Source organism: Homo sapiens, chromosome 1 (assembly GCF_000001405.40).
Source record: "Homo sapiens chromosome 1, GRCh38.p14 Primary Assembly".
Lineage (NCBI taxonomy): Eukaryota > Metazoa > Chordata > Mammalia > Primates > Hominidae > Homo > Homo sapiens.
The window spans coordinates 155,885,553-155,897,273 of record NC_000001.11 but is presented as its reverse complement, the minus strand read 5'-3'; the positions used below and the strand labels follow the sequence as shown (position 1 = coordinate 155,897,273).

Sequence of the window (11,721 nt, the reverse complement as noted above, 5' to 3'; positions counted from 1 at the left end):
AGGATGGTGTTGATCTCCTGACCTTGTGATCCACCCGCCTCAGCCTCCCAAAGTGCTGGGATTACAGGTGTGAGCCACCGCACCCAGCCAAGAATGATAACTTTTTACCTGAAGGTCATTTAATCTCCATTACTGTAAATGGCCACCAGTGTTGGTAGAGAGGACCTAATTTGAACGTTAAACAAATGGATTTTTTTGTTTTGAGACAGAGTCTTACTCTTATCACTCAGGCTGGAGTGCAGTGGTGTGATCTGGGCTCACTGCAGCCCCTGCCCCCCAGGTTCAAGTGATTCTCCCATCTCAGCCTCCTGAGTAGCTGGGATTACAGGTGCGCACTACCACGACCAGGTAATTTTTGTATTTTTATTAGAGATGGTTTTGCCATGTTGGCCAGGTTGGTCTCAAACTCCTGACCTCAAGTGATCCACCCTCCTCGGCCTCCCAAAGTGCTGGGATTATAGGTGTGAGTCACTGTATCTCGCCTGTCTTTGGTTTAAAAAAGACAGTCTCCGTCTGCTAGGCTGGAGTGCGGTGGTGTGATCATGGCTCACTGTAACCTTGAACTCCTGGGTTTAAGTGAAAGATCCTCCTGCGTCAGCCTCTTCAGTAGCTGGGACTACGGGCACATGCCACCATGCCGTGCCAAATTTTTACATATTTTGTAGAGGCGGGTCTCAAACTCCTGGCCTCAAGCAATCCTCCTGCCTCAGCCTTCCAAAGTGCTGGGATTACAGGCTTGAGCCACCTCACCTGGCCCAAGAGTGGATTTTTATGTCCTCATTATTATTTAAGTTTTTTTTTTTTTTTGAAACAGTCTCACTCTGTCGCCCAGGCTGGAGTGCAGGGACACCATCTCAGCTCAGTGCAGCCTCTGCCTCCCGGGTTCAAGTGATCTTTGTGCCTCAGCCTCCCAAGTAGCTGGGATTACAAGCATGTGCTACCACGCCTGGCTAATTTTTTGTATATTTAGTACAGACAGGGTTTCACCATGTTGGCCAGGCTGGTCTCAAACTCCTGGCCTCAAGTGATCTGCCCGCCTTGGCCTCCAAAGTGCTGGGATTGCAGGTGTGAGCACTGCACCCTGCCTATTTAACATTTTTGAATGGTCAGTAACTGTCAGTGTCCACTAGAAACAGGTACTGGAGGAGTGGCATTCCATTTTTCTTTCCGTCTCTTTTTTTTTTTTTTCTTCACTTGATTTAAAAAATCATTCCCCTGGTCGGGCACAGTGGCTCATGCCTGTAATCCCAGTACTTTGAGAGGCCAAGACAGGTGGATCACGAGGTCAGGAGTTCAAGACCAGCCTGGCCAAGATGGTGAAACCCTGTCTCTACTAAAGATACAAAAATTAGCTGGGCGTGGTGGTGGGCGCCTGTAATCCCAGCTACTCGGGAGGCTGAGGCAGAGAATTGGAATTGCTTGAACCCGGGAGGCAGAGGTTGTGGTGAGCTGAGATTGCGCCATTGCACTCCAGCCTGGGCAACAGAGCAAGACTCTATCTCAAAAAAAAAAAAAAATTGTTCCCCTCTTTGATTAAATTACTCATACTTAATGGCATTCCATTTTCTAATGTAACCTCTGTTAGAATAAGTAATGGAATTTCAGGTGAAGTATTTATAAGCCTCTTCCATGTATTAAGCACTGTTTTAAAGAGCTGTGAAGGATTCAGAGGAATATAGAATACGGGCTGGCATAGTGGCTCATGACTGTAATCCTAGCACTTTGGGAGGTGGAGGTAGGCAGTTTGCCTGAGCTTAGGAATTCGAGACCAGGCTGAGAAACATGGTGAGACCCCATCTCTACTGAAATACAAAACAAAAAAAAAATTAGCTGGGTGTGGTGGCCCACACCTGTAATCCCAGCTACTCTGGAGGCTGAGGCACAAGAATCACTTGAACCCAGGGGGCGGAGGTTACAGTGAGCCAGGATCGTGTCACTGCACTCCAGCCTGGGCAACAGTGAGACTCTGTATTTAAAAAAAAAAAAGTGTATATATATATTTTTTTTGTACATGTATATTGTATATATATATACACCAAAAATATATATATGTTATTCCTGCTCTGGAGCTTAGATAAAATTTATATATGTAGCCAGGTGCGGTGGCTCACGCCTGTAATCCCAGCACTTTGGGAGGCTGAGGTAGGTGGATCACGAGGTCAGGAGATCGAGACCATCCTGGCTAACATGGTGAAACCCATCTCTACTAAAAATACAAAAAAAATAGCCAGGCGCGGTGGCGGGCGCCTGTAGTCCCAGCTACTCGGGAGGCTGAGGCAGGAGAATGGTGTGAACCTGGGAGGCAGAGCTTGCTGTGAGCTGAGATCATGCCACTGCACTCCAGCCTGGGCAACAGAGCAAGACTCCGTCTCAAAAAAATAAATAAAATTTGTATATATAAAACAGCTAGAGGTCAGTCTTAAAGTAATAAGTCATATGCTTCAAACTGGAAATGTTATAGGAATTCAAAAAGGAAGGAATTAGTAAATGTAGTAGACTCCTAATAAGTCATTGGTAGTGTTATGCCTTTTCCAAACTCGTACAGAAATTTGAAATCTTGCCAGGCACGGTGGCTCATGCCTGTAATCCCATCACTTTGGGAGGCTGAGGCAGATGGATCACTTATGGTCAGGAGTTCAAGACCAGCCTGGCCAACATGGCGAAACCCTGTCTCTACTAAAAATACAAAATTAGCTGGGTGTGGTGGCATGCGCCTGTAATCCCAGTTACTTGGGAGGCTGAGGCAGGAGAATTGCTTGAACCCGGGAGGCAGAGGTTGCGGTGAGCCAAGATCGTGCCACTGCCCTCCAGCCTGGGCGACAGCAAGACTCCATCTCAAAAAAAAAAAAAAATTTTTTTTCAATCAACTTTTGTTTTTTAAGTTCAGTCTCCATAGAGATTGTCAAAAATTGCCAATGCCAGGGTATTGGGAAAAGTTTTCAATTAGCAATAATCATGCCTCATTGGCTATAATCCTGTCACTGTACAAAGCTGTCCAATCAACTTTTAAACATATGCCAGGCACAGGGCTCACGCCTGTAATCCCAGCAATTTGGAAGGCTGAGGTGGACAGATCACAAGGTCAGGGATTCAAGATCAGCCTGACCAACATGGTGAAACCCCATCTCTACTAAAAATACAACAAAAATTAGCCAGGCATGGTGGTACGCGCCTGTAATCCCAGTTACTCGGGAGGCTGAGGCAGGAGAATCACTTGAACCCGGGAGGTGGAGGTTGCAGCGAGCCAAGATTGCGCCACAGCACTCCAGCTTGTACGACAGAGCGAGACTCCATCTCAAAAACAAACAAACAAACAAAAAACCATGAGTTGGCCTTGAGACAAAACTACTGAAATGTTTTAGCTTTATCTAATAATGTTTGCTTAAAAAAAAACTCATGATGAGCAGCTTTTGGTTCAGTGCATACATTCCACAGCACACGTGATCATATCATGAAGTCACTCAGTTTTTTGAACAAAAGCTGCTGCAGTGGGGACATGTGTCATTTCCTGCCCTTCCTGGAGCTAGTTATTGCCAGAGTTTATTGCAGTTTTCTCTGAGCCAGAAGAAAAACTTTAGCTCCAAAACATCTCCCACAAAATGCTTTCCCTAGTTTCCTGGCAGAGGAGTGTGCAGGTGAGGGGGCAGAGGCAGAGAAATGTATGGCTTTTATGAGGATGGGTCCAAGTGCTCAATACACTGCAATCCAACATAAAATCTCTGCTGCCCAGGAAGGCATGTACATCAATCTAGTCAGCCAGAGAATTAAATTGTGCATTCCCACCCAAAACATTCTGGACACTCTTATTTTCATGTCCTTAGACTCCCGAAGAGAAATACATGGGTCTAGTTGCAACTAACACACACCTACCACCATCATCAAAAAACACAAAACCAAAACCGATCATTATACCAAACTTCTTTTGAAACTCCAACTCAGAATAAGTAGGAAGAAGAGACAGCCTTTTCAGGTTTGCTTTAAGTCTGCTTCCCAGACAATATTTTGTTCCCTGCCTGCCTGCCTTTCTTGGGTATCCGCTGCATGCCAAGCAATGTGTTGGCATTGGGAATTCAACAGTGAATTTAAAAAAAAGCTCACAGTTCTTAGAGTCTCAGTTCTTTTCAGTGGGCACCTCTAATTCTAACGTGCAAAATCTGACACAGATTTGGATTGAATGGTGGGAGAATGAGAAGGAGTAAGGGACACATAGCAATTTCAACTGCTTGGTAAACAATAACTAAATGTTAACTTGGAAAAAAGCCTGAGAAGAAGCTGATTTGATGTGAGTGAATGTAAATCATGAAAATATCCAGTTTCATCCGGGTGTGGTGGCTCATGCCTGTAAACTCAGCACTTTGGAATGCTGAAGTGGTACGGTCACTTGAAGCCAGAAGTTCAAGACTAGCATAGGCAACATAGCAAGACCCCCATCTCTACAAAAATTTAAAAACTAGCTGGGTGTGCTGGTGTGTGCCTGTAGTCCCAGCTACTTGAGAGGCTGAGGTGGAAGGATTGCTTGAGCCCAGAAGGTGGATGCTGCAATGAGCTATGATTGTGCCGCTGTACACCTGCCTGGGTGACAGTGTGAGACCCTGTCTCAATAGATAGATAGATGATTGATTGATAAATAGATAGATAGATAGATAGACAGACAGACAGATAGCTACATAGGCTGGGCGTGGTGGCTCACGCCTGTAATCCCAGCACTTTGGGAGGCCGAGGCAAGAGGATTGCTTGAGCACAGGAGTTCCAACCAGCCTGTCTCCACAGAAAATTTTTTTAAGTTAGCCAGGTGTGGTAGCACGTGTGTCGTGGTGGTGCATGCCTGTGATGCCAGCTACTCAGCTACTTGGGAGGGTGAGGTGTGAGGATTAACCAAGCCCAGGAGGCTAAGGCTGCAGTGAACCATGTCACTGCACTCCGGACTGGGCAACAGAGCAAGACCCTGTCTCAAAATGTAAATAAGAAGAAAGAAAATGAGTTTTTCTCCTTATGGCCCTGTCAGAGGCTTTCAATTAGATTGAGATTTAATGTACTGTCTGGGCATGGTGGCTCATGCCTGTAATCCCAACACTTTGGGAGGCTGAGGTGGGCGGATCACCTGAGGTCAGGAGTTCGAGACTAGCCTGGCCAACACGGTGAAACCCCGCCTCTACTAAAAATACAAAAATTAGCTGGGTGTGGTGGCACATGCCTGTAATCCCAGCTACTCGGGAGGCTGAGACAGGAGAATTGCTTGAACCTGGGAGGCAGCGGTTGCAGTGAGCTGAGATCAGGCCATTGCAATCCGGCCTGGGTGGCAGAGCAGGACTCTGTCTCAAAAAAAAAAAGTAGTATTTGAGGTGAACTAACCAGCTCCCCAGGCTTAGACACAAGACTTGCTCATGAATTCCCATACTTTTATTCAAAATTTTCTGTTAGCGCATCTAATCCTGGGCCTGTTGAGCCTTAGGACTTCCTTTAGGACTTTGTTTCCTGAAGGCCAAACAGAGTTTTGAGCATTTCTTAGAGGTGTCCAGAAGGTGGTATTGACCCTAGTATAGACAGTGTTAGGCAATTGGGATGTTCACCAGTTTGCCGTCTCGTAAAAGTTATACTAGTTAAGAATCGATATTTTCTCAGCTTTCTGAAAAATGATGCCCTATGTGTAAACTTACATTGCTCTTGAAGTATTCAAAGAAAAGCCCAGGCTGTTTGCCTTTTCAGACCACAAGGTATGGGGGATGGATGAGAGCAGTACTGGAGGCCCTTACTAGGTGGGCACTAGTCTTTTTTTTTTTTTTTTTTTGAGACGGAGTCTCACTCTGTCGCCCAGGCTGGAATGCAATGCTGTGATCTTGGCTCACTGCAACCTCTGCCTCCCGGGTTCAAGCGATTCTCCTGCCTCAGCCTCCTGAGTAGTTGGGATTACAGGGTGTGCCACCACGCCCGGCTAATTTTTGTATTTTTAGTAGAGACGGGGTTCACCATGTTGGTCAGGCTGGTCTCAAACTCCTGACCTCGTGATCCACCTGCCTCGGCCTTCCAAAGTGCTGGGATTACAGGCATGAGCCACCGTGCCCAGCTGATAGTGGGCAACTCTTTTCTGGGAGTTTGTTATAAGGAGATCACATGAAAAAGCACCTTGGAGTGAGAGGTCTATAGAAAACAAGGTACAGTGGCTGGGCGCGGTGGCTCACGCTTGTAATCCCAGCACTTTGGGAGGCCGAGGTGGGTGGATCACGAGGTCAGGAGTTCGAGACCAGCCTGACCCTGGTGAAACCCCTTCTCTACCAAAAATACAAAATTAGCTGGGCGTGGTGGTGCAATGCCTGTATTCCCAGCTACTCGGGAGGCTGAGGCAGAAGAATTGCTTAAACCTGGGAGTGAGCTGAGATCACGCCATTGCACACCCGCCTGGGCAGCAAGAGCAAAACTCCATCTCAAAAACAAAAACGAAAACAAAAAAACAAACAAACAAAAATACAAGGCACAGTAGCTCCCGGTTATCCACAAGGGATACATTCATAGATCCCCAGAGGATGCCTGAAATCATGGATAGTATCGAACCCTATGTATACTTTTTCCTATACACATGTATCTATAATAACGTTAAATTTATAAATTAGATTCAGTAAGAGATTATCAACAGTCTAATAAAATAGAACAATTATAAAAATACACTGTAATAAAAGTTACATGACTGTGGTCTCTCTCAAAATAGAGTATTTTATTGTGTTGTACTGTGGGTAAGTGAAACTGCAGAAAACAAAACCCAGGATTAGGGTAGGGTGGACTACTGCAGTGCTCTTGGTTGGCTGCCCGCCCAGCATCTATTCCTCCTTCCAGAAAAACTGACATTTCATTCAAGAATTCACCTTTTTCCCGTGCCCAGCTCCAGGACAGTCCTAAGTGATCTAAAGAAAATTCCATCCTCCTTGTCAATGTTTGGTTCAGAAATGACCATGTTACATTTTGGATCAGGAAAAACAGACGAGAGGATTGCTAGAGGCTTTTCAGAATTTATTCTGGGAATAAGGCTCTCTTATTTTTCTGGGAAAGGTCCTGAGCCATCTCCTCTTTCCACCTGGCGGTGAATGAGGAAGCAAGAAACCTTGGGAGTGGTTCATCAGATGAAAGCCACAGGATGAAGCTGACATTGAATGTCAGGGGGGACCCACGGAAAGAATCTGAGTCCTTGACAGTATTAGTGACCTTTTGCAGAAGTCAACTTGGAAGGCTACCCCACCTTTGGACTTCCAGTTAGGTTAGCTGATGCATTTTCTTAATGTTTAAGCCAACTTGAAATGGGTTTCCTGTTAATTGTAGCCAAAAGTATGCTGAGTGCCAAGATAATCTTACCATCATTGTGATATGATGATGTTGTTATTTTTAAGACAGTCATCTAGAAAAAAGTAATATACAAAATGATATACATACCATGATTGCAATCATAAGTTAAAACAAATTGGAAGATGTGCCAAAATTAGCAATGCTTGCCTCTGAGTGGATTTCCCCCTATTTCTATGACTTGAACTTTATTTTACATATTTTCTACATTGATTCTGAGTGATGTATCAAGAAAAATATGCACAAGAGATAAGCTCAGAAGACAAAATGGGCCCAGGCACGGTGGCTCATGCCTGTAATCCCAGTATTTTGGGAAGCTGAGGCAGGAGGATAGCTTGAGACCAGGAGTTCGAGACCATGGTCAATAGAGCAACACCCTGTCTCTATTTATAAAAATAAGTAAATAAATATAAAAAATAAAAAAATAAAGAGACAAAGTAATTATTAAGATTTTGGAATCTTGACTATTTTTTTCTTTTCTCTATTTTCCAATTTTTTCTTTTTTCTTGAGACAAGGTCTTACTCTGTCACCCAGGCTGGAGTGCAGTGGCACTATGATGGCTTACAGAAGGCTTGAACTCTTGGGCTCAAGGGATGTCCCACCTCAGCCTCCCAGGTAGCCAGGACTTCAGGTACACGCCACCATGCCTAGCTAAGTTTTTGACTTTTGTAGAGACAAGGTCTCCCTGTTGCCCAGGCTGGTCTTGAACTCCTGGGCTCAAGCAATCCTCCTGCCCCAGCCTCCCAAGGTGCTGGGATGACAGCTGTGAGCTACTGCATCTGGTTCCAGTTTTCTTTTTTTTTTTTTTAAATGGAGTCTCGCTCTGTTGCCCAGGCTGGAGTGCGGTGGCACAATCTCAGCTCACTGCAACCTCCACCTCCCGGGTTCAAGTGATTCTCCTGTCTCAGCCTCCCAAGTAGCTGGAACTACAGGTGCATGCCACCATGCCTGGCTAATTTTTTTGTATTTTTAGTAGAGACAGTGTTTCACCATGTTAGCCATGATAGTCTCGATCTCCTGACCTTGTGATCCGCCTGCCTCGGACTCCCGAAGTGCTGGGATTACAGGCGTGAGCCACTGCGCCCTGCTCCAGTTTTCTTATAATGTGCTTATATTAGTTTATAATTTGAAAATATTTTGTAGTTCCTTCACTGAAACTTTTAAAGAGCAGGAATTGATTCTCCTTCCATTCTCTCTTCCTCTCACAGGGAGGATAAATTACACAGAACAGAAAATATGAAAAGTGAATCACTCCAGACTTTAAGGCATGTAGAGAAATCCACAAAGAGCAGTTGCAAGGGTCATATTACCCCCAGTATATTACCCTAGAGTGTTGCATTTTCCTGTGTTTCTTTTCTTTCTTTCTTTCTTTTTTTTTTTTGAGATGGAGTTTTGATCTTGTTGCCCAGGCTGGAGTGCAATGGCGCAATCTCGGCTCACCGCAACCTTTGCCTCCCAGGTACAAGCGATTCTCCTGCCTCAGCCTCCCAAGTAGCTGGGATTACAGGCATGTGCCACCACGCCCAGCTAATTTTGTATTTCTAGTAGAGACAGGGTTTCTCCGTGTTGGTCAGGCTGGTCTCCAACTCCCAACCTCAGGTGATCCGCCCGCCTTGGCCTCCCAAAGTCCTGGGATTACAGGAATGAGCCGCCGCACCCGGCCTGTGTTTCTTTTCTTTTAGAGCATTTCCTAATTTGTAATCATATATTTATTAGTGTAATTATTTGATTAATATTGTCCTCTGCTACACTCTACAAGAACAGCACTCTTGTTCACCAATGTATTGTATCTGTAGTGCCTGGCACATAGTAGACACTCAAATAAATATTTGTTGACTAATAAATGAATGAGAGGCCATTATCCTAAGCACAGGAACAGAAAACCAAGTACTGCATGTTCTTACTAGTAAGAGGGAGCTAAACATTGAGTACTTATGGACACAGAAACGGCAACAATAGAGACTGGGGACTACCAGAAGGGGGAGGGTTTAAAAACTATCGGCCTACACTTTGGGAGGCCAAGGTGGGTGGATCACCTGAGGTCAGGAGTTCAAGACCAGAGAAACCCCGTCTCTACTAAAAATACAAAAATTAGCCGGGCGTAGTGGTGCGGGCCTGTAATCCCAGCTACTTGGGAGGCTGAGGCAGGGAGAATTGCTTGAACCTGGAGGCGGAGGTTGCGGTGAGCCGAGATCGTGCCATTGCGCTCCAGCCTGGGAAACAATTGTGAAACTCCATCTCAAAAAAAAAAAAAAAAAAAATTAGCGGGGTGTGGTGATGCATGCCTGCAATCCCAGCTACTCAGGAGGCTGAGGCACAAGAATCACTTGAACCCAGGAGGCGGAGGTTGCTGTGAGCCAAGATCATGCCACTGCACTCCAGCCTGGGCAACAGAGCAAGACTCTGTCTCCCGGAAAAAAAAAAAAGACCAGCCTTCCCAAGATAGTGAGGGCCACATCTCTACAAAACAAAATTTAAAAATTAGCCAGGTGGCCGGGCACAGTGGCTCAAGCCTGTAATCTCAGCACTTTGGGAGGCCGAGGCAGGTGTGTCACCTGAGGTCAGGAGTTCAAGACCATCCTGGCCAATATGGTGAGACCCTCATCTCTACTAAAAATACAAAAATTAGCCGGGCAAGGTGGTGCGTGCCTGTAATCCCAGCTACTCAGGAGGTTGAGGCACAAGAATTGCTTGAACCTGGGAGGCAGAGTTTATAGTGAGCCGAGATCGTGCCACTGCACTCCAGCCTGGGCAATAGAGTGAGACTCTGTCTCAAGAAAAAAAAAAAAAAAAATTAGCCAGGTATGGTGGTGTGCACCAGTCTCAGTTATGTGGGAGGCTGAGGTAGGAGGATCAATTTAACTCAGGAGGTCGAGACTGTAGTGAGCCATGATTGCGCCACTCTATTCCAGCCTGGGCAATAGAGTGACTGTTTTAAAACAAACAAACGAACAACTGGGTACTATGCTAAGTATCTAGGTGACAGGATCATTAGGATCCCAAATCCCAGCATCACTCAATAAAGCCAGATAACAAAAACCTGCACATGTGTCCCCCCTGAATCTAAAATGAAAGTTGAAAAAAAAAATTATGGCTGGGTGTGGTGGCTCACACCTATAATCCCAACACTTTGGGAGGCTGAGGCGGGTGGATCACGAAGTCAGGAGTTTGAGACCAGCCTGACCAACATGTTGAAATCCTGTCTCTACTAAAAATATAAAAATTAGCCGGGCATGGTGGCGCCCTCCTGTAGTCCCAGCTACTCAGGAGGCTGATGCAGGAGAATCGCTTGAACCTGGAAGGTGGAGTTTGTAGTGAGCCGAGATCACGCCACTGCACTCCAGCCTGGGCAACAGAGCAAGACTCTGTCTCAAAAAAAAAAAAAAAGAAAGAAAGAAAGAAAGAAAATTATTCAAGCCAAACATCAAACATTAACTTTTGCCATTTAATGTTTCACTCAGAAATTAAACTTTCATAACCCAGTGCAAGCTGCATAAAGAAAAAGATAATTTGACTGGGCGCAGTGGCTCACGCCTATAATCCCAGCACTTTGGGAGGCCGAGGTGGGTGGATCACAAGGTCAGGAGATCAAGACCATCTTGGCTAACACAGTGAAACTCCGTCTCTACTAAAAATACAAAACATTAGCCGGGCGTAGTGGCGGGCGCCTGTAGTCCCAGCTACTCAGGAGGCTGAGGCAGGAGAATGGGGTGAACCCGGGAGGCAGAGCTTGCAGTGAGCCAAGATTGCGCCACTGTACTCCAGCCTCGGCGACAAAGCCAGACTCCATCTCAAAAAAAAAAAAAAAAGAAAAGAAAAAGGTAATTTATTAAGCCTTGGAACTGAGAAGGCTCAGATCTGTCTGAAGACACGGCTTCATCTGAGGTCAAAGATGTCATGGAGTCTGATTTCTCTCTCCCCCTGTTTTAGCTGTACTTCTGTGCAGGCTCCATTCTCAGGCTCTCTCCTCTCTGGGGCACAGTGACTACAGAAGCCTCAGCCCCACATCCTCCCATGTTCAGGTCTAGGGAGATCCTTCATAGCTCCTGACAGGCCTTGAGGCCGGGTGCGGTGGCTCACGCCTGTAATCCCAGCACTTTGGGAGGCTAAGGCAGAAGGATAACTTGAGGCCGGGAGTTTCAGGCCAGCCTGGCCAATATGGTGAGACCCCCATCTCTACTAAAAATACAAATATTAGCCAAACTTGGTGGCACGCACCTGTAGTCCCAGCTGCTTGAGGTCGCTGGAACCCAGGAGGCGGATGTTACAGTGAGCCGAGATTGAGCCACTGCACTCCAGCCTGGGCAACAGAGCGAGACTGTCTAAAAAAAAAAAAAAAAAAAAAAAAAAGTAAATGAATGAATGAGGGAACAGAATTGGCCTGTCTCAGG

At 45.7% G+C, this 11,721-nt stretch overlaps 1 pseudogene; it reads right to left on the bottom strand.

The window, feature by feature from the left end:
* On the bottom strand, nucleotides 2,888-2,993 carry LOC124904686 (uncharacterized; annotated as a pseudogene).
* Nucleotides 2,994-11,721: the final 8,728 nt, after the last annotated feature.